The following is a 23,180-nucleotide window of genomic DNA, read 5'->3' as shown; positions in this document are numbered from 1 at the left end:
GTGATTAACCATGGTATTCTTTTTATTTATTTTGCTTCAGATTCATTGGGCTTCTGAATCTATGGTTAATGTCTTACATCAATTCTGGAAATTTCTCAGCCTTTATCTTTTAAAATATTCCCTCTTCCCCATTAGTCTCTCTTCTTCTGAAACTTGATTGGATACATGTTAGACTGACTCATTCTGTCCTCTGTGACCCTTAACACCTTTTCACATTTTCCATTTTTTTGTCTCCTTGTGTTGCAATTGTGATAACTTTTTTCCAGATCTATAGTAGTACAATTCACGGATTTTTTTTAAATTTATATCTACTTTGCTGTTTAACTTGTTTATTTAAGTCTTTAATTTTGGTTACTGAATTTTTAATTTATATAAATTTTGTTTTTTTGACTGTTTCATTTTGTATTGTCTCATGTTCTTAACTCATATTTTCAAGCCCTAATTTGTTTAATGCTTACTTTATATTCTGTGCCTGATATTTACAAGTCTGATTCTGCTGGCTTTTACTCACTTGCTTTGTGTATGTATGTAGGTGTATGGAAATATATGTATACTTATTTGTTTGTTCATTTTTCTGTGAACTCATATTTCTTAGCATTTAATCTAGGAGGGGGCAGTTTGAGGCTTAAGTTGAAAGTTCTTTCTTCCAAAAAGGATGTACTTTTTGGTAAGTGCCTGGAAGCACTACAGTTTGTGACCATTTTAGAATAAATTATCAACTTAAGGTTTTTCAGACCATAATGTCAGTGTGAATTTGAGCAGTAAAGCCATATGAGGGCAATTCTGTGGTTATGAATTCTTGGAGAATTTTTTTCTCCCTTTAGGCATCCTTATTTTCCCTTTCCGCAGGTAAATCTATTTCAGTTCATCTGACACCAAGGATGTAGCCCTTTAGTTCCAGCTTTGCGTTGCATTTCCTTCTTGAGTCACCCTGTCCCACCTGGGGTTGATGTCCTTTTCTCCTGCAAATGGACACTTACGGTCACCAGGGCTCTGCAGCTGCCTGTGGGTGAATCTGGCTTCAGAGCCTTCCTGCCTGTCTCACAGGATTCCTGCTTTCTCTTCGTTTTAAGCTTCTGAGCTTTTTAATTTTTTTTTTTGTCAACTCAACTATATTTTTTAAAATATTATATTTTAGTGTTTTTATCCAGTAGTGTTATTTTTAGCTGGAGAACCATTTAGGATACTTAGACAGAAGTCTACTAACTTTTCAGGGCATTCCATTCTGCCTTCGTCCACCATCTGCTGAAATAATTCTCGTTAAGACACCAACACCCCTGCATGTTTCCAGATTGGAAAGAAATGTCCCTTGACCCCCATCAACAGCACTGACCCCAGTTGCTCCCTTCTTGGAGATATTTCTTGCTTGGCTTTCAGGATACTGCAGTGCCTTGTGTTTCTGCTTGCCCCCAAGCCATGTTTCCTCTGTTGACTCCTTCACCTCTATCCAGTTTTGATCTTCAGCGCTTCCTTTCTTTATTCACTACACTTTCTCTAATGGATTTAAATGTCATATTTATGCCGATGGCCCTCCAATTTATATCTCTGTGGCCCAAACCTCTTCTCTGAGTATACCAGACTTGAAGAGTCAATTATCTCCTTTTGGTTGCCATACAGAGTTCTCAAACTTAGTGTGTCTGAAATGGAATTTCATTTTGCCTCTCCAGCCTTTATTCTCCTTTTTAGTAAATAACATCATCATCTATCTAGATGCTCAGGCCAGAAACATAGGAGTCAGCCAGGATTCATTCCTTGAATAAAGAATAACCAAACCATAAACAAGTCCTTTGATTTAATCTCTAATATGTCTCCATTTGACCTCTCTCGGCGCCTTCTGCTGCCATCCTTCTCCACACACAGCTGTGAACTATCTAGACACTGCACTGGCGTTCTGACTGGTTGTGTCTGACTATGTCTCATTCTCCCATTCATCTATTCCATTCCATTCTTCACAGAACTGCAAGAGTGACCTTAAAATATAAAACACTCTCTTCCTGAAAACGCTTCTGTTGCTTTCTTTCTAATTATGGTCTGTAAGTGTCTCCATGATCTACATTCTTTGCCTCTCTGTACAACCTCATCTCTGCCACTCCTGGCTCACCGTGTCCCAGCTGGGAGAGTTTTTTAAACACAGCAGAGTCTTTTCTGCCATCCCCCATCAGGACCTTTGCCATTTTAGCCTCTCTGCCTGGACTGTTCTTTAAACGGCTACATCTGTCTTGTCCTTTAAAGATTATGTTTTCAGAGAAGTCTTTCATGACCACCACCCCAAGTAGAGGAAGGTCCTATTTTTCTTTCGAGGCCTTTTTGTTTTTCCTTTCGTGGGACTTAGCACAATTTGAATTGTCTTCTGTATATGATGCTCTACTTGGTTTTGTTGACCCTGCTAGAATGAGCTTCATAAAAGCAGGTACAACATCTCTTCGTAGTCACTGTTCTGTATCTAGTCCCTAGAACAGTGAATGCTCAAAAAGAAAAGAAAAAGAGGAGAAAATAGAGCTTGCTTAAGAGCATTAATTAATGATCTAACTGGGACTAAAACTTTTAATCTCTGCTGATTTACTGCTTCTTATGTTAATAATTAAGTTTTAATTTCTAAAATAAAACTTTTTTGGAGAATTTAACTCAGGTTATCCTGTATGTTGGAGAGCTTAAACAACTGATCTCAGCTATCCAAAAATGCATAGATGCTCCACATTGTGGCAGTTCCATCAAAATACAGACTTACAGACTCCCAAAATCATATACAGTAATGTTAAAGACATCTTAGGAAGCGTTTGGGAAAAAAACTTTGAAAATAGTTTCCAAACTTTTATAATTTTTCTTCTGACTTTTCATTTAGGATAAAAGAAATGTAAGGGTTAATGGGGAAGCTTTTATATTGCCATCTCAATTTTGTTTTTCTTTTCTCATAGGAGCCTCATGGATGGGTTGTGGATTTGGTAAATAAGGTATATGACTTTTGTTAATATTGTCATGTAGCATATTTTCAATTTTCTAATGAGACGTCCTAGAGTTTGGTATATTAAGCAAATGGCAGCTGCAGAGAATAATAAAAAAAATGCTTTAAGGAGTGGATTTCATATTTTCTTCCTTTTTTTGTATGTACAATACTAGCAGGTAAACATCAGCTTTTGGACTTAGTACTATCTGCAGTATGCCACAGGAGCATTAGAAGGATCAATGCAAGGATTCTCTCAAGACCAATGTTACGGAGCACAACGATAAAGTAGAATTTTAGCTTTAGTTCCTTGCTTAAATTATTAATATATAATATTTTAAAATTAATATGTGTAGTACAATAGGATGACTGCAGTCAATAATAACTTAATTGTATATTTTTAAATAACTTAAATAATATAATTGGATTGTTTGTAACTCAAAGGATAAATGCTTGAGGGGATGGAAACCCCATTCTCCATGATGTGCTTATTTCACATTGTATGCCTGTATCAAAACATCTCGTGTGCCCCATAAACATATACACCTACTATGTACCAATAGAAATTTTTCAAAATAAAAAAATTAAAGAGAAAAATAACTTAATGTGTGCCTTTTTTCTTCTCAGTTTGGAGAATTAGGTGGATTTGCAGCAATCCAAGCCAAGCTCCATTCAGAAGATATAGAACTTGGGGTAAGTTAAACTACTGTATATGCTCACTGTGGAAATTCATTTCACTTGAGTTGGTGTACAGCCAGAGGATATGGTCTGGACATGCCAAGTTAAATGTTAAATTAAAGGTTCATCTTTAGAGGAGCAGATTCCACGGTCCTGATAACCAAAGAAATGTTTACTCCTAATTATAACCAAATTGCTATGTAGAGTTTTTTCCTCACTATTTTTTCTTTACCTGTGGCATTTTTCTCTTAATTTGTAATGGTTACATGAAATTATCTTACTGTTTAAAGTTGGTTGCTATATGTGGCAAGTATATATATGCATAACAATTTTATGGCTCAGTTAAACGATTATATAAAATCAGAATTTACTTCATAGACTCAGGCACAAATAAAAATACTTTTAACAGAGTTGTTTAGTAAGCTTTTTGGTGTTACAAAAACTTCTAGATAACAAATGGCTATAACATGGGAGCTTAGAATCATCAGGTGCAGTGTTCATATCAACTTCATTTTCTCAAAACATAACCTCATAGTTAGGGGAATAACTAATCTTTAATTTTTCAGACACTGTTGACCTGTTTGTTGCTGAGAGCACTTCATTCTTTTCTCTAATTAATCATTCAACTAAAAACTATTACGTACTTGGCATGAATAAGACACTGCGCTATCTGCTGTAATTTGATCAGTACAGAAAATAATGTGTTAAAATAATACACCCAGGTGTTACAGATTGTGCTTACAGTTGCAGTTATTTTTGTGAAACCATGACTAATCAATTCCTATTGGTCCCTCTATGGGTGAAGGAAATAGCAATGCTCAAGGAGAGAGACTGATGGTGTAGTAATAGATTGACTCTTTCTTGCCACCCAGTGTTTATCCTAAAGATCAGATGTCTGCCATATCACAGACACTGATGCAGAAGCCTCCACTTGCTTCCCTGGAAGTTAATTAGGTTGTTGAACTGTCCTTGTGATCCCCATTCAATAGATCAAGTATGTTGGAAAGGACTTCATTGAGTTGGAAGATAATATATAACAATTTAAAAAGCAAAACCAAAGAAAAACCTCTTCAGATCCAGGGTTAAAAAAAAAAAAATACAGAGCACTCCCAAATTTCTATCCTACTTGGATGAAAATTGGCTCAGGATAGATAGATGGGAATCTGGGCATAGCCCTCATTATTATCAAATGTGCTAAAGTTAAAGAGTCTTGCAAGATTTTTCCATAAGGTCAGACCATTTTTCAGAACAATTGTGTTGTCTGCTGCAGTTGACACAGAATTATATTGTTTAGGTTGTATTGAGGGGATAGTAACACTCAGGCATTGGAGAGATTCCAAAGGTGTGGACTTTTGTAGGAGACAGGTATAATTAGAATTCACACGTGCTGAATTTCTGACCAGTTAAGGTGGCTGTGTCCCAGGATAAATTTAGGCCATAATATTAAGTCTGAGTACAACTTTGGAATTTAAAAATACTAGGAAAAAATATCACTCACAAGCCCACTAGTTAAAAACACCTATACAAAACAAGAAATGAAAGTTGTTGCTCATCCTTCTTCCTGATCCCCACACACATACCTAGGTAACGGTTACCAGTTTAACAGATGCCTTTCTGGCTTTTCCCTGAATTTATATAAATCTATGCATGTTCTTTCTCTCTCTCTCTTTTTCTCCTAAACCTAAATTATCAAGCTATACCTGGTTGTATACTTTCATTTAACATAATATCATGGTCATCTTTCCAGGTTAGTACTATCAGTGTTTTTAATGACTGCAAGTGATATATTTCTGCAAATGGTATACCATGATGCAGACACTTACTAATGGGCATTGGATTATTTCTATGTTTTTGCTATTATAGAGAGTGTTCCTTATAAATATGTCTTCATGTACGTGCAACTATTTCTGAAAGATCAATACCTAGAGAATGAGATTTCTGAGTTGAAGATTACAGTCATTCCTTGGTATACTGGGGGATTGGTTCCAGGATTCTGGGTATACCAGAATCTGTCTATACTCAAATCCTGTAGGCAGCCCTGCAGAGCTCACGTATATGAAAAGTCAACCTTCAATCTGGGATGCAGATTTTGCATCCCAGGAATATTGTATTTTCAGTCCTCATTTTGTTCAAAAAATCTGCATGTAAGTGAACCCATGCAATTCAAGCTTGTTTGTTCAAGGGTCAACTGTATATTTGTTTTAAAATTATAATTGACAGTGCTAAATGTCTTTCTAAAAAGCTTTTTTGCCCATCAGTACTCCCACAAACCCATTTCATAATAGTCTCATTAGTGCTAAATATTTTCAATCTTTAATGTTCCAGTATGATGGACAAAAAATGGTATTTTATTATTTAATATGTAATACTCTGATTTCTTGTGAACTTGAGCATTTTGTCATATGATTATTGGTTATTTGTATTTCTTCTGTGAATTGACCTAGTTTATTTAGGTCTCTTTGGGTGACGTGTTTTGTTAATTTTTAGGAATTATTTTTATATTAAGCTTATCAATGCTGTATCTATTTTGCATATTTGTAAATCTTTTCTCCTAGTATTTTGCTTCTTTTCATTTTTATTGATGGTATCTTTTGCTATATAGAAGTTTCAGACTTTTACGTAGTCAAATTTTTCCTTGGTGTCTTAAAAGTTTTCTAACTTGCTTAGATAATGTTCTCCCACCTCAAGTTTATAAAAATATATTTTTTCTTTTTATACTTTCATATTTTTATTTTTTTAACTTAGTCCTTGAATTCATTTAGAATTTATTTTTGTATATTTGAAAAGATAGGGATTTAATTTTATTTTCTTCCAAATAGGTAGCCAATTGTTGTTAGATCCTCTGTTGAATAATCTCTCTTTTCCTTATTATTTGTAGTTGCTGGCTTAATAATATCAAAGGCCCGTGTGCCAATGGATTTGTTTCTGGACCTCTGTTCCAGTCATTTATTAATTCATTCATTATTTGGTTCATTTCTGTACTGTTGCAACATTGTGTTCATTACTGGTAGTGTCACTTCTGCCCAGTATCATTCTTTTCTAAAAAAATTTTTTATTGTTTCCATATTTTTAATGTTCTGGGTGTAGTCAACCTGTCAGGTTCTGCTGTAGAAAATTCTACTGAGATCGTGTTTGGAATTGCATTAAATTTATAGGTCAGTGCAGAGAGAATTGATGTTTTTACAATAATGGTCTTTTCCATTTAGAAACATGGTGTCTCCCCATTTATTTGGGCTGCTTTAATGTATTTTAGTAAGGTTTTATAATTTTCTTCAAGTAAGCCTTCAGTGTTTTTTGTTTAAGGAATATTTCATGCCTCAGCTATTCTCTCCTTTTTTAAAAAAATGTATAGTATTCTACAATGTAACTTTAAAATCATTTTATCTAATTCTCCAAAGATGTTTTATTGACATATTCTGATTTAAATTACATTAAATTTCTATAATAATTTAAGCGGGTTGACATCTTTATATCAATTCTTTCTATCCAGGAGTTTAGTTTCTCTAGTCTTCTATTCATGACTTGATCAACTCACTATTTAAACTTTTCTCTGATACATGAAAAGGGATTTGTTTAATTTTGACAGGAAAAAAATCCTCTCAAATGTATTTTTAATCTTCACTGTCTTTTTCCAGGCTGTCTCAGCACTGATTCAGCCCTTAGGAGTGTGTGCAGAGTACCTCAATTCCTCCGTGGTACAGGTAGGATTAAACCATTTCACATTACTTCATATGATTGAAGACATGCAAACAGTAATAACTTCTTTTTATCAGGTTATTCAGAGTGGTCTTTAATCCAGAGTAACTCCTTTTTTCACATTAGCTGTCCTTTTAATAAAAATGCCATCAGATAATAAAAATTGTTGAATAATTTGAAGTATAGGAGACCTAACATTTGAGAAGGCCATTTACCTTTTCAGTTTATCATTTTATAAAATATAATTTTTATTTATTTTTCATTTTCTTATCTATAAAGTAGGCAGCATATCCTTATTTGCTTCACAGGATTATTTAAGGATTTAATGCCATTATGTATTGAATCAGATTAGTATTTATGTATTAAATCGGCTAGGCTCACTTACTGGCTCAGTTGCTCACTTCTGAATACCAGCTTAACAGCACATCTTGTCTGATTTCCTACCTCCGTAGGATTGTAAGTCAGCAGGTCATAGAACAGTCAAAGCTGTGAGTGTTCAGTTTTCTAATGCTAAAAGCCTATTCTGCTATCCTGTTTCCTTCATTTCAGTTAACAAGTTTTACCGAACAAAATGTCACGTTGAAATACTTCTGTTTATTTATTTTTATAAATAAGTCTGTGGACCCTATAACTTCTATAGAGCTTTTAAAAAATCACCATAAATGGTTTTGAAAGCACAGTGTCCTTCTGGAGCAGTGTTTTTAAATGCACTGTTCTTTCCAACATCACATTTACTTAGGGCCATTTTAATAAGGGAGATAGGATTTTTTTTTAGTAGGTTCTGGAAATTTCTGTTATTTCTTTTTTCTTTTCTTTTCTTTTTTTTTTTTTCCAGACAGAGTCTCGCTCTGTTGCCCAGGCTGGAGAGCAGTGGTGTGATCTCGGCTCACTGCAACCTCTGTCTCCCAGGTTCAAGCGATTCTCCTGCCTCAACCTCTTGAGTAGCTGGGACTACATGCACGTGCCACCATGCCCGGCTAATTTTTGTATTTTTAGTAGAGATGGGGTTTCACCATGCTGGCCAGGCTGGTCTCAAACTCCTGACCTCGTGATCCACCCACCTCGGCCTCCCAAAGTGCTGGGATTACAGGCATGAGCCACTGTACCTAGCCAATTTCTGTAATTTCTAAATGTTAAATGCTTTCTTTAGATGTCAAGGTAATCCTGCAAGAGTTTTAGGTGAAATAGGATGGCTGTTTACATATTTCTCCATTCTGTATATTAAAACCTTTAGAAACAGCTAATGTTCCTTCAGTTTATTAAGCATATAAATATCATTAATTTCATAGTTGAAACACTAAGACATAAAGAGGCAAAGTGATTGGACTTTTTAATATTTTAATAATAAACATTAATACTTTAATAATCAGGGTCAGGATTGGGTTTTAAACACATGCTCTTTGCTCATGCCTTGCTATGTGGAAGAGAATTTAGCATAAATACCCCAGCTGCTAACTAATATTAAGGTCTTTAGAAATTCCAGATTTTATATATGTAAACAGAGTGTACCTTAAAAAGAACAAGAAGTGTATGAATTCCCAACCAAGCACATCTGACTTCATCTTTATTTTAATTATGTCAAACCATCCAAAATTAAATTCATTCAGCAATAAACTCATATAATACATGTTACTTACATAACAGTTGTCTCTACTACTTGCTACTTGTATGACTTCAGAAGACTCTTATTTAACTTGTATGCCTCAATTTCCTAATCTGTGGAATGGCCATAATAGTAATAGCTGTCTCAAGAGTTGCAGTAAGGATTAAACAGCATGTGCTGAAAAGAGCACTATGACTCTCTTAACCATAACAGCTCGCTCTCCTTCCTATACAATTGGCATTAAGTGTAAAAGAAGAAATTCTATCTGGATAACTGCCTGATGTCATTTTAGCTCATTGCTAATGTATTCTTGGCTTTGACAGCCAAATATTGTTTATCTCTTTCTTCATCAGCTAAGTTTTAAATATTTTCTTACTTAGATGGAAGTGGTAATTTAGATGTATTAATAGCTAATACTTTACCATTCTCACATACTCTTCAGAGTTAGTTTTCTGGTTGTGTTACCATTCTGGAGCAGTGTATTGTATGAATTTCATCTATAGGCCTCATTCACATCAGTAAGCAAAAATCGTTCATATGACAGCATAATTTCCATGGTCTGTGTTTATATTCAGTTTTAAAAATCAAGCACAAAATATTTATTATAAAAACAATTCATGCTGTGTTTTAAAAGTTAGACTGTGTGTCTTGAGTCACTCTTCAAAATTACCTTTATAAGATAGTAATGACAGAAAATGTACTCATATTATAGTAAAGAAGCTGAGGCACCTAAGATTAAGCAGAGTCAGTTAAGGGTTTATTTGGCAGTATTAGCTAGTTAGTAGCTGCTCTGATATGAAAATTTTTATCTTTTCATTGCACCTTCTCCTTTGTGAATTGTAGATGAAGAAGTATTCTCTCTCTACTTTTGGGACAGCTTCGGGAGTTCTTAACTGTAGCATTTTATTTCTACAGCCCATGCTAGACCCAGTCATTCTTACTACAATCCAGGATGTACGGAGTGTAGAAGAGAAAGACCTCAAAGACAAGGTAAATGCCTTCTCCAGCCAGATAGGCCCCAGTGCCAGTTAGTTCACAGAAGCAGAGCCAGGACTTAGCAGGGTTCACACACCATGCTCTTTGAATTCTGGTCACATGCATTCACATCGAATTAACTTTACATTTCCTAATTAAAAAGTGCTGTTTCTGAAGCACCATTGGTGGTTGTTACCTCTAGTCAATAGAGTTAATACAGTGTTCTCAGTAAGTGATACCATTCAGAATTTTACTAACATGATTTTGATGGTATCACAATTGGCATAGAGAAAGTTTTAAAATAATACAGTGTTACAACTTACCCAGAGTTGTTTAAAGCAATTTTACCATTTAAATTTAATATGACTTATTTTGTCTACCCTAAATTTTTCACAGGACCATTCCCTTTCCTTTACTGCTCACCCATGTGCTAAGTTTTGTTTCTAAGCAAAATGAAGTTAATTGGCCTTGTAAAATATCAGATACTGCCAGACCACTGTTACCCTATATTCTTGTGTATGTTATAAGAATTGGGATCAAAATGTTTTTACAGTTCCTTTTTTGTTTTTTTGTTTTTATTCAATAAAAGAGATTGGTTAGCATCCCTGAGCTCTTGTCTGCCGTTAAGTTACTTTGCATGCGCTTCCAACCGGATCTGGTGACAATTGTGGATGACCTTCGACTAGATATTCTATTGCGCATGCTGAAATCACCACATTTCAGTGCTAAGATGAATTCTCTCAAAGAAGTAAGTTTTTCATTTGTTTCTACAAGACTTAATGCACAGATACTAAGTTCTGCCAAGATGTATGCTTATTAATATAACAATTTTGGGAAATATGAATAATTTATTGTAATCATATAAAAAAGAGAATGATTGTGTATAAAATGTTGTATATAATTGTTGGTAAAGACATCTTCTGTGTTACTTTCAAAATTTACATCTGAAATATTTAAAATATTTACTGTTTTTGTGAAATTTCCTAGAATATAATCCCTTAGAATATACAGTTTGAGATTTACTTTTGCTCTAAGGGTACAGTTGGTTTTGTTTTATTTCAGGTGTAAGTTTACTTAAACCAAATCTTCTAACTGGGGTTGGGACAAAAACTAAATGACTGCAGCAGTGTTGGTCAAAGCAAAATGATGGAAATAATTTTCTGTAGCTTTCTGAATTTGTTATCATATCCACAGAAACAGCACAGTTGGTTTTGGTGTGTGACACATGGAGCCAATGCAGTTCAGTTATAATTCACTTATTTTTTCCTTCGGTTTTGTATTGTTAGGATTCTTGACTACCAGTGAAAGAAACTCATCTTGAACCATTTTAGACCAAAAGAGGAGTTCATTGAAAAGAGGCTGGGTTATTTTACATGAATGAAAGGTTTACTAGCCAGACAAGAAAGGATGGGCACATGTGGGCAACAGAACAACTAGAATTTGCAAGCTGACCACTGTCAGGACTCTGTCCAAGTCTTGTCCCTGCTTTTCTTAGTATGTTGGCCTTGCTGCCTCTCTACCTGCATTTGGCATTTTTCATACGGTAGAGATCAAGACAATGAATAGATCCGATGTTTCACATCCTGCAGTTCCCATCACCGGAGAGGGACTGACTCACTCCTTCTGCATATGAAGTGTCTTCCTGACACTTCTGTATACTTTCCACATATAAAATTTGGAGGGAGTGCCTGATTGAGGTTTGGGTTAGATGTTCATCCCTGAGCCAATTAGCAGTGGTCCAGGGAATGACAGCTGTAAGAATGACTCCATGTTCTTTTTTTTTTTTTTTTTTGAGATGGAGTCTCGCTCTGTCACCCAGGCTGGAGTGCAGTGGCACAATCTTGGACCACTGCAACCTCCGCCTCCTAGGTTCAAGCAATTCTCCTGCCTTAGCCTCCTGAGTAACTGGGATTACAGGCGCCCACGACTACGCCCAGCTAATCTTTTATATTTTTAGTAGAGACAGGGTTTCTCCATGTTGGCCAGGCTGGTCTCAAACTCCTGACCTAAAGTGATCCACCCACCTTGGCCTCCCAATGTGCTGGGATTACAGGCGTGAGCCACCGTGCCTGGCCCTCCATGTTCTTTTTAAAGGGACATCACAAATGGTAGTCTGTTAACTTCTTATAACTGGCCTTTGATATATTTTGGCTAGTTATTGAAGCACATTGTAACATTGTAAAAATTATCTATCTATCTATATAAATATTTGATAATGTATATTAGACTCAGTCACAATAATCTTATCTTTTTAGGTAACCAAACTAATAGAAGATAGCACTTTATCCAAATCTGTGAAGAATGCTATAGATACAGACAGATTATTAGATTGGCTAGTTGAAAACTCAGTTCTGTCGATTGCACTGGAAGGTAAGTTGCTTTCAAAAATAAAAATTACCTAACACATAATTTAAATAATATATCTTTGTATTAAAAAGTATACAAAATTGTTGCTTTGACTGTATTAGTCTTTAAATGATCTTATAGTAAGTTATTGTTTTGAATCAATAGAATTATATTTAGAGAGTCAGTGTTCACTATATCTGACTTTCTCTCTCATGTTTCTTCAATTAGGCAACATAGACCAAGCACAATACTGTGACCGTATAAAGGGAATTATTGAACTCTTGGGTAGTAAATTGTCGTTAGATGAACTCACTAAAATTTGGAAGATACAGGTAGGTTGATCAGAATTATTTTTGCCTTTGGCTAATGTTTTTGGACTACAGGAGAGCGAAAAGGGTGATGAGAGAGCAGGAAAACGGAAACTTTATCTTGCTTTAAACAGAGCAGCTGTACCTAACCCACTTTACAGTTTCAGGTTTTTATTAAGATTGTATGTGTAAATCCACTCACCACAAGAAGTTTCAAACTGCTGATCTAGTCTGGTCTTCTAATTTTTTAAATTAAAAAATGAGAAGGTCATATAGCAGTTAGTGGCAGAGCTAGGAATAGGTGTGTGTCTTTGTTTATCAATCTAGTGTTCTTTTCATTATATTATTAATTTTCATTAATAATTTTTTTCCCATTTAGTCCCTATTAAATAAAGATGATTGGTGAGTTTGTAGATCTCATCTTACTAGGACTGTCAAGAGGTGTGACAGAATCCAACATAGTCTTCAATTTTTTTTTCTTCACTTTGGTCATAGTCCATTTTACTGGTTTTCCTAACTTTCCTAGCATTGCTCCTTGAGTCCCCTTTACTAACTTATTCTCTTCTACTTTGACTTTATTTGTTTTTTTCAAGCCTTAGTTCTTAGCCCTTTTCTCACTGTATTGGTTTTCATAAGTCAATTGCAGGCATTCCTGTGGCTTTGACTACATTTGTATGCTGTTGACTCTGAATTAAATCTCTAATTCAGATCTCTTCTTGGAGCTCCAATGCAGTATATCTAAATATGTAACACACATTCCCATGCATAGTGCATTGGCATCTTAAATTCATTATATCCAAACATGGTCATTCTCCAGTCTATTTCATTAATGGTATTATTCTTCATCTAGTTGGTAAGCCAGAGAAAAACCTGGAGCACTCTTTGACTGTATCAACTTAGTCACTGTATCAGTCAGAATCTAGTCAGGAAGTAGAAACTATGCTAGGTATATCAAGCAAAGGGAATTCATTACAGGGGATTGTTTACAAAAGTCTTCCTAAGTAAGGTAGAGGAGCAAAAAAAGAGAATGTTGGAGAAGCAAAAAGAAGGAAGGGGTATTAAGTTCAAGGAAATGAAGCTGCTCTTGGAGGTGCTTTTACTTTAAGTGCTGGAACTGTCAAAGAGGTGCTACTGCCACCAAGGTTTCCAGAGTCCCTTGCAGCCACAGCCAGCATCTGCATCCACTCTGAACCTAAGCCAGACGTACTTCATCCTTCATCCTGCCACTCATCTCCCAGCGCTTCCTCTCATTGGCAGAACGTAACAGGAAGTTGGCTGGCAGAGGAGTTTGGGAAATGTAGTTGGCAGGCTCCCAGCCCAGCATTACAGAGCAGACTATAAAAAGTCAGGTGCAGGAGTAAAAGAAAACAGTCCCGGGTCCCAAGATATTACTTCCCATGTCTTGACGTTGGTGGAATACACTCATATAATTTTGTTTTGCGAGTATAAATTTTGAATCCACATAAGGTTGAAGATTTAGGTTGAAGATTAGAGACCATGATTTATATATTGTATATTCCTACTACATTCAATGAATGACTCTATGTGCATAGTATATATTGAGAAAATTCTTAAGGAATTGAATCTAAAAATGTCCTCTTTGATTTCACATCTCACATGATGAACAGTGAGGCATGACAGTGACATAATTGACGTTATAAAGTGAATTTAAACCTTAAGGTTGACAATAGGGTCTATAGCTCTGCAGCAAAGACTTACTGCCAATAGGATAAATAAACATTAATTGAAATCACAAAGTATCTATGAGTAAAATAAATAATGAGGCAGGTAATACGCTCAATTGGAACCTTCAGGATCATTTATAAAATGTCAAAAGTGGGTACATTTGTTTTATAATTCAATCTGTTTAAATCTTTCAGCAGTTGAAAATATTTTGTTCTCTTCTTGAAGTGAAATATGTCACACTGAGAACTTGATTCTCATGGGGTTTTTTTTTTTCATTGTCGGTTTAAAGAATTAATGCTTCTAGGAATTTAAATAAGGCCAGCTGATAACGATTAATAATGGTTGCTTCATATAGTCTTGCCAATATTATGCAAGTGGATGCTGATTACACTAGAGTCAATTTGTCTTTGTTATATTTTTGCTTGTGCTTCTGTAAGTTGCCAGGGGGAAGACTTAGGTTGTTCCGAGTTCCAAGACTTAATTTTTTTCCAATGTTTCCTTTTCCAGTCAGGACAATCATCTACTGTGATTGAGAACATTCATACTATTATTGCTGCAGCGGCTGTGAAATTTAATTCAGATCAGCTTAATCATTTGTTTGTTCTCATTCAGAAGGTACGTGTTCAGTCAGACTTGCTTACTTTTAAATTTTCTTAAAATAAGCTCTTTTGAGGTCCTGAATACCCCTCCTCCCCACCAGTTAGCAGTATTTAAATGTACTTTTCTTACGTTGTTAATGTTTTTAGCTCAAGTTTAAAATTTTTGCATATTTTGCCAGTTTGATCGTGAAGCAATTCCTGTGTCTTTTCCGTTCTACAGAGCTGGGAGACTGAGAGTGATAGAGTAAGACAGAAGCTTTTGAGCCTGATTGGACGAATAGGCCGGGAAGCTCGCTTTGAGACCACTTCTGGAAAGGCAGGAGAATCAAATGGATTTTTCTAGCTACAAATGCTCAAAGCAGCTATTTGCATATTGGCTGGCTGATCATATGTAATATTATTGTAGGTTTTAGACGTACTCTGGGAACTGGCTCACCTTCCAACCCTGCCCAGTAGCCTTATTCAGCAGGCCTTGGAGGAGCACCTGACAATCCTTAGTGATGCATATGCAGTGAAAGAAGCAATCAAGAGGAGCTACATCATCAAGTGCATAGAAGATATTAAGAGGGTTGGTTTCAGCTTTTATCTGATTTTGTTGTTAGAGCAACAGTATTCCCTGAGTAATTAGAGCCAAATAATTTTCCTCCCCTGTTATGTAAATTAAACTAAATGCCATATCTGGAAGCTCTTACCTTAAAGTCCAAGATCGGGAAATTATAGGTATTGCTTTTACCAAGTCACTTATATTTCTCTTAAAATGAATTTTCAGCCTGGAGAATGGTCAGGTTTGGAAAAAAACAAGAAGGATGGATTCAAGGTAAGAATTTGCAGATGGAACCAACTAAAAGGTATACTAGTTTAATAATTTCCTTTAATAAATTACACCACAATTTTAAAATAATAGTATGTTTTAGTGTTTCTTAATGTTCATATTAAACTTGATGTCTAAAAATTTGTTTATGACCTATGCTTTATTATTTAAAGCTTGGGAGGTGCTCTTAATGGGAAAAAAAATCTAGGATCACATTCAAAGAGTAATTTTATTATATAATTTTCATAAAATTAGAAGATTTTCAACTTAGTTTTTCTTTTTAAAATTAAATCTAAAGTATGCACAGTTTTAATAAGTACAGTGGACTCCAAATAAATATTGTGCTTGTTTTTCTCCCATAAAGGAGAAATGGAGGAGCATTCATAGTATGAGAGAGAGAAAGGAAGGAGGTTCAGTCATCGATTGCACATAGTAGTGTTTCAGGTTCTTCATTTAGACATGTTCCTAAAGTAATTCTATAGGCAGTCATTCAGTGAGTATCTGTTGCTGGGGCTTCATTTTAGAAGGTAGGGTTGGATACGGACTTGTATAAGAGGGACTGGGACTGTAGGTTACTGTGAACTTCTGGACTGTCCTTGGAGGTGGTGGTTAGCAGATTGAGCGGTAATGATTGCAGCTCTCCTGTTGTTCCAGTCCTTAAGCCTCAAGCCTCTCCTCTGAGAGGGCTGATCACAGCAGCCAGCTCAGTGGACTGTGCTTCTGTTGTTGCAGCAGCCCTAATTGGAGCAGCATTGTCCTCTCACCTAGACCCTCAGGGTGCCCAGACCAAACTTAAAGCCTAGCACTGGAAAGGCTTCCGCTTTCTGATTTTCATTTTATTATTAACATAAGAAAAGTTTTGGTAGAATAACTAGTGGCTTAATAATTTCATTAGTAAAACATATTCCTTGGCTTTTGTTAAGTATTTCTTTAAAGGATCTTGGATACTGCCAACTAATTTTCATTGGTATATTAAGAGACTCTTAGCTCAGTGGGCTTTTATTTCTTATGTTGTGTTTGATCACAAAGTTTAGTTGGGGGCATTGAAGAACTTTGTGTTTTATATTTCTGACACTGAAATGTGACCAGGTGAATTTTCTACATGTAACCCAGCTTTAGAAATTTTAAAAGGTATTTGCAAACTGGAGCTGGTAATTCTCAGGTTATGAGGAATTTTTCTTTTAACTCAATAACATTGCTTTCTTTTCACTCAGATACAATTTGAATTTTTCCAGTTTCCTTAGCTCAGTGATTCAAATAACTTAGCAACCTCTCCTTATGATTAAAATTCATCCAGTTACTGAAGATGTTTAGAACCTTCAATAGTAAGAGGAAAAGGGTGTCCATAGAAAAATGGTCTTGTCTTCTCAGCAACAGACACGTTTCTTTTATATATAAAAGGTCAAAGCTGAATGGATTTTTCCCTCCCTCCAGGGAAGTGGCGTTTGAAACCAGAATATCCCTCCTGACCATTATTCCTTCCTTGTTACAGCTAAACATTACTTAGCTTTTCTAGTCAGTTGCATCACTGCATCTTTATTGCTTCTCTTTGCAGTCATTTCATTTATGTCTGTTGTTTTATAACAAAACTCAAAAAGTAAAAGGAGAATTTTTGGAGTTATTTTGTGAGACTCGAAAGGAATATTCTTTCTTTTTTATTTCCCCACTGCTCCCAGTAAAGAAATACTGGTGTACCATTATTTCATTCTAAACAATAATATCTTGCCTTTTATATAGCACTTTTCAGTTTACTAAGTGCTTTCATGGACTTTTACAAAGTACACATTGCTGAAGGGGGGCAGTGGGAAGATCAAAGCCCCCTGGATATGGCTCCAGGCAGGGGGGTGAATTATTTACTTCCACTAAAGGTGTTTTTCTATGCTATGCCCTTTCCTGCCAGGCAGCAAGGTGGGCTGACTGGGGATTATGTCTCCCTGCCAGGCTACACAGAAACTAAGCAAAGGGTAAGACAAGATCACCCACTTCTTACTCCCCTCCCACCCTCAGCTACCTCTATTCCCCCAACTGATTACCCTTCCCTCTGCTTTTGATACTCTTAAAATTCCCAAGTTCCACTGTTGTGTTCAGAAATTCTGGCCTTGATTTCCTAACTTTATTTCTGTAGATTCTGCAGGGTACCCTCGGCTCCCTTGGTCCTCTTTCCTTTGCTGCTTCTATACCTTCCACTGTCTACCCCAATCCTTCCCTCTTATGTCACTTCTTTTTTTCTTCAATTAAAAAGTTTAAATGTACTCATCCAAAAAAAATTACTAAACCAAAAAAAAACCTCATTTTTCCTCAGTTAGTTGTACTGCATATTCCTTAAGTTGTTTATCTTCAGGCCACCTACCATAGCGCCTGACAGGCTTTTAGCAAATGTTGGTTTCCTTCCTCTTACTTCCTCCCCTTCACCCTATGAGGACACCAAAAGCCTTACATAGCCATAGCTGAGTTGCCTCTACTTACCAAAACACGTAACAGAAAGTAAAAGTAGCAAGATGTCCTCAGTACAGATACTTTCACATGATGTGGTTAGTACAGGAGGAAATAACTTTTAGAAATTGTCCTCCCAAGCAAAAATTTTTGCTGTGGTCCTAGATAGAAGGATAGGTCTGGAAAAACAAGACAGATGAGGAAGTGGGGATGTTCAACTTTGAGAAGAGAGAACTCAAGAAAATGTGAAAGCTTTTTTTAAATACTTAGAGCATTGTTATAGAGAAGTTTCATTCAACTTACTTTTTATGTCTCCAAAGAAGTTATGCAGAAGCATGTTTCAGTATCAATGAACTTTTATATGAGAACAGTCTGAAAACAGAATTCAGTCCCTTCTGAGGTAGTGAGTTCCTCATCAGTGGAAATACTAAGTCAGTCATTGTATAAAAAATGAATAAAGAGAATTTAGGCATAGGTTTGCAGGCTAAACCAACTGACCTCTAAGGCTTCATCTAATGTTGAGTCCAATTTAGACATCCCATCAGGTCCTACTTATGAAATCTCCACTCTGTGACATTATCAGATATCTTCATTGTAATTGGAGAAGAGTAATTTAAATTTTTCTTATAACTTGTCACCACGTCATAGATAAGATGAAATAAACAACATCTTTCCTGTTTGCTAAACTTTAAGAAGGCTATATCAGAAATAATTCTTAAATTTTAGTTTTATAGACTTTTTCTTTGAATTTTATTGTATAACAAGTTACCTTCAAAGGATAATTTTCAATATTAAATAAAAATATTGTTACCATAATTGACTTAATTGGCCATCATGATACTTTTTAATATATTTGCTTCTTGCTGAAGAGTTCATATTTATGTCCCAATTTTGTAATCCTTTTGGGAAGGTATCTGTTTGGATATAAACCTTACAGTTTTTATTACTGTCATTTTGCAACTTTTATAGTGTAGCCAGAAGTAGTCTAGCTAGTCTCACAAGTAGTTGACCTTTAATATATACCTTATTTCTGTGATTCTAAGATGCCAGTGATTGCACCCTGCATCTCAGATTTAATAAACTTGCAAAGAAGAAAAAAAGAAACTGTCCGTTTTGCAGTTATGGACCATTGGTTTAGATTCTTAATGAGAGGTTGAGCCTAAGCCTTTTTTTGAACAATTATGAACAACTTCATGGGAGCACACTGCTTTGCATTGTATATAGTAATGCTTTGGACCTCTCTGAAATCTTTATGATTGGCTGTATAATTTTGAGGCATGTTGATGAATATGGAGTTTTGTGTGCTTGTTCTCTTTTGTAAAACTCAACTTGCTTTTTTTCATAATTGAGTTATGTACACTACAAGTTAAACACCTTCTCTTGAAATAAGGTGCAGCTTAGGACAGAGAGACATTTAGTGCTGAGTGGTACAGCCCTTCACAGGGTATGAGTCTGTCATGCCAGCTTCTCCTGACTTCGGAAAATGCTTTAGTGTGAGACCACTGACTGTTTTATTTTAATTGTGTTGATGGACACAACTGGTTAGTTAGTGTTGCATTATAGTGTAATCTTTTTGATAACATTTAAGTAACAAATTAGTGATCCAAATTTAAGTGAGAAAGCCATTCTTGTTTGGTACTACCTATACCAGGTAACAACTAAAATGATAGGTAGAAGAACAAATACCTTTTGTGTACAGCTAAGTTTGCACATACTCAGGTAAGCACAGCTATATAAAAACTTACTCCTGTGCCTAGTGGCTGGTGAGTTTCTTTTGACATAATTGTCTAAAGTGTCAATTTCAGATATGTTAAAATATATGAAATCTTTGTCTTAGAATCTAGGAAATACAGTATTTGCTGATTGAGGATTGGCTGATCCCTATGAGGCAAGGAAAAAAGTATTGTGTGACAATAACTTGCTCACATTTACATATTCAATAGTGAGATGTTTCTCTACAAAGACAACAAAAGTGTATTTCCCCTCCACAAGGGTCTTCATCTTACACTAAGGCTCAATAGAACAAGGAGGCATTAAAACAAAAACTTCAGCCTCTGAAGAATGCTGAGGACTTAAGTTTTTACTCAGCTTTTTGGTTAGAGATTTAATAGTCATGTTTAAACTGAAATTCTTACCAAATTTTGAAATTTCATAGTTTGAAAGATGCTATTTATTAAAAAGTAGTTCTCTTTATAAAGAGTATTACACAAACAGTAGACTTTTTAGATCTGTACTATGACGATCTGGATTGTCATATACCAGTTTCAGAAATAATATATTTGGAAGTGTTTTGAAAAATGTACAGTGTAAGTGTAAAATGTCTGTAATAATAAAAATAGAATTACCTCTTATGAAAGTGTTTTAACTAGGAAATACAGATTATGAATATTTTCTTTAATATTTAGACCACTACCAGTGTCTTGATCATATCATTGGTATCCTAGTCATATAATCATAGAAAGCAATATTCTTACTCCATTTTACTTACCATGCAGTTCAGTGTTATCCAAGTTAAGCTTTGGCCATCAGTTTATTTTGTGTCAACATGACTTAGCAGCCTGTGCTACTTAATCTATCCTCTGAAGTTGCTAATTCCTTGTTGTCTGTTTTTTGCTGATGTACCCCTGTACATTTACTGTCACTTCACATCCACTCCTGTTTGCAGTTCTTAGCTTTAGGAAATTGCATGCAGAATAAGAAGTTGAAGACTGAATTATGAGTGCATGGAGATAAGCTCTAAATGGTCAATATAAAGAGTAAAATAATAAAATGTGTAACAGTAAACCTGATTGACTTGAAATTTTTTATAGCTAATAAATGAATCTGCTGTTTATTTCTAAATTTAATTAATGTAACTTCTTTTTAACTCTAGTCATCTCAGCTTAATAATCCCCAGTTTGTATGGGTGGTACCAGCTTTGCGTCAGCTCCATGAAATTACTCGCTCATTCATAAAACAAACCTATCAAAAGCAAGACAAGGTAAGGGTATAGCTATTTTTTATTATTATAGTTACTTGCATAACTTTTACAATAACAAAACATGGCTAAAATTGCTGAGTTTATAGTCACTATCTTTATGTTTATTGATGTAATTCACTTATATCATCTAATAATCTTGAGTTTAAGCATCATTCTGCTTTCATTTCTGCAGAGCTTTTTTTTTTTTTTAATCTCCTTAACTCATTTTCTTTTTATTTGCTTAATTTTCAAATAGTTAAGCCAGTTTTTAAAAGTTAGAATGGCATTTTAAAAATTGGTTTGAAAAGATTAAAAAGCTTGTTGCTTGTTTTGTATCACAAAAAGATTAGTTTGCTTAAAGTACTAGAGTTTCCTCAATGTATAGACTTGGGAAGGATGATCCAGAAAAGTATACAGGAAGTGAAATAGTTATTTTTATAGGCTTTTTAAAAAAATAAATAAAATGAATATTTTTAGATGGAAAACATTAGTAGTTTATTAATTTTCTAGTAAATGTACATACCAGATTGATTTTATTTACTTTTGTGTAGGAAATACGAATGAGGAAATTCTTATGTTTGCTTTGTCTCATCTAGGACTACATCTTTAAATAGCAGCTTGTATTAAACCAGCAAAATAACTGCAAATTCTCATTACCACTTTTCTTTTTGTTATTTTCGCCAAGAGCATTATTCAAGACTTGAAGAAGAATTTTGAAATAGTGAAATTGGTAACGGGAAGTTTGATCGCTTGTCATCGGCTTGCAGCTGCTGTGGCCGGGCCTGGAGGCTTAAGTGGCTCGACACTAGTGGATGGCCGGTACACTTACCGGGAGGTATCAGGCCTTGTGTTTTTGCTTCATGATTTACAACATTAATTTGACCTTTTTATACTTATACTATAAAAAGAATTTTTGTTAGCTGTAACTATAAAGAGGTTGTATGAGGTATCTTTGTAGTGAGGGAACAGTTTTGTATCTTGGTGTTTGTGAGTTATCTTTCATATGATGAAGGAATAAACATCTTTTTTTTGTCTTTGATCTGAAATAATAATTGCTAATTCAGTGGATAATGGGTTTTGTTTTTCAAATCAATTGATTAGTAACATTATTGTTTTTTAAAAAATTAGGAAAAAAATCTTAACTCACCAGTTGTGAGTTTGTAGTGTTTTACTTTGAGATTGCTGAAATTACATTTTATTGACATCCAAAATCAACTGAATTTCTAATAGACTTGAGATAGATAGCTTCTATTACATTGTACTATCAATTTGTAAACAGAATTCTAATATTTACTTTACCCTAAATTATATGAAAAAGGATTAAGTAAAACTGTTGTTAAAACTTAAAGTTTTGTTTTGTTTTAATGTTGCTTTTAGGAATGAATGCCTGGAGTTAACTAATTAGCATTATTTCTTTTTGCAGTATTTAGAGGCACATCTAAAATTTCTAGCGTTTTTCTTGCAAGAAGCTACTCTGTATCTGGGCTGGAATCGTGCCAAGGAGATCTGGGAGTGTCTTGTAACTGGCCAGGATGTTTGTGAATTAGATAGAGAGGTAAGAAGGTGGTATTGTGGATAAAGTAAGGCAGAAATATTTAAATATTTCACTTTTTCTGTGTGTCTCACATCTTCTAAACACTTTTCAGTTTATATAAGCATAAATAGTATGGGCCAAGAACTGTAAGTGCTGAAAAAATGTTTTATATAACATATATTCATGATAAAAATAAATGTATGAGTTCTTTGGTAATTTTGATACCATTCTGGATAAAATACCAAATTTAACCAAATGAGTATAAAGAATTCTAGATATATTTAAGTTTTTTCCCTTCCATATGAAACTAATTTTAAGTTGCCAACAGAAAACTTTGAGTTCCTATAATGATGTTGCACCCCAAAAACAGTAAAGAAGAATTAGTACCTGGCCACATTTTTTTGTAAACTATAATTAAGCAGCCAAAGATAGATTAAATCAGGAACAGAACACCTGCCTTGACATTTTCTAGGAGTAAATTTCATTTTCCTCATCTTATTTGACAGAATAATATTAACTACTTCCTAGACTTGTCGAAAGGCTTCACTATTGTGATAGTGCCCAGCATAGTGCCTGTTGTAAGCAGGCAGTAAATGTTGATGGAAAAACCC

The 23,180-nt window shown here is 34.9% G+C and overlaps 1 protein-coding gene across 11 annotated transcripts in view; it reads left to right on the top strand.

The window, feature by feature from the left end:
* USP24 (ubiquitin specific peptidase 24) overlaps positions 1 to 23,180 on the top strand; it is a 149,006-nt gene that overhangs the window by 45,846 nt on the left and 79,980 nt on the right. For 8 of the 11 annotated variants that reach the window (XR_001737080.2, XM_017000832.2, XM_017000831.2 and 5 more), the window contains exons 6-20: positions 2,916 to 2,951; positions 3,569 to 3,634; positions 7,255 to 7,320; positions 9,834 to 9,908; positions 10,483 to 10,641; positions 12,149 to 12,263; positions 12,468 to 12,571; positions 14,741 to 14,848; positions 15,053 to 15,148; positions 15,239 to 15,400; positions 15,602 to 15,649; positions 17,548 to 17,607; positions 20,949 to 21,056; positions 21,721 to 21,870; positions 22,459 to 22,590. Coding sequence is in view for 10 of the 11 variants with exons in the window: in XM_017000832.2 (XP_016856321.1) it covers positions 2,916 to 2,951; positions 3,569 to 3,634; positions 7,255 to 7,320; positions 9,834 to 9,908; positions 10,483 to 10,641; positions 12,149 to 12,263; positions 12,468 to 12,571; positions 14,741 to 14,848; positions 15,053 to 15,148; positions 15,239 to 15,400; positions 15,602 to 15,649; positions 17,548 to 17,607; positions 20,949 to 21,056; positions 21,721 to 21,870; positions 22,459 to 22,590 (1,485 nt within the window). In the remaining variant the exon portion in view is untranslated. Of the gene's footprint in view, positions 1 to 2,915; positions 2,952 to 3,568; positions 3,635 to 7,254; positions 7,321 to 9,833; positions 9,909 to 10,482; positions 10,642 to 12,148; positions 12,264 to 12,467; positions 12,572 to 14,740; positions 14,849 to 15,052; positions 15,149 to 15,238; positions 15,401 to 15,601; positions 15,650 to 17,543; positions 17,608 to 20,948; positions 21,057 to 21,720; positions 21,871 to 22,458; positions 22,591 to 23,180 lie in introns of those variants that run through there. The other 3 variants (XM_047416524.1, NM_015306.3, XM_005270690.4) reach the window with 2 other exon arrangements.

Source organism: Homo sapiens, chromosome 1, assembly GCF_000001405.40.
Source record: "Homo sapiens chromosome 1, GRCh38.p14 Primary Assembly".
Taxonomy (NCBI): domain Eukaryota; kingdom Metazoa; phylum Chordata; class Mammalia; order Primates; family Hominidae; genus Homo; species Homo sapiens.
Note: the sequence above shows the minus strand (reverse complement) of the source record. Positions and strands in the feature narration are given on the sequence as shown.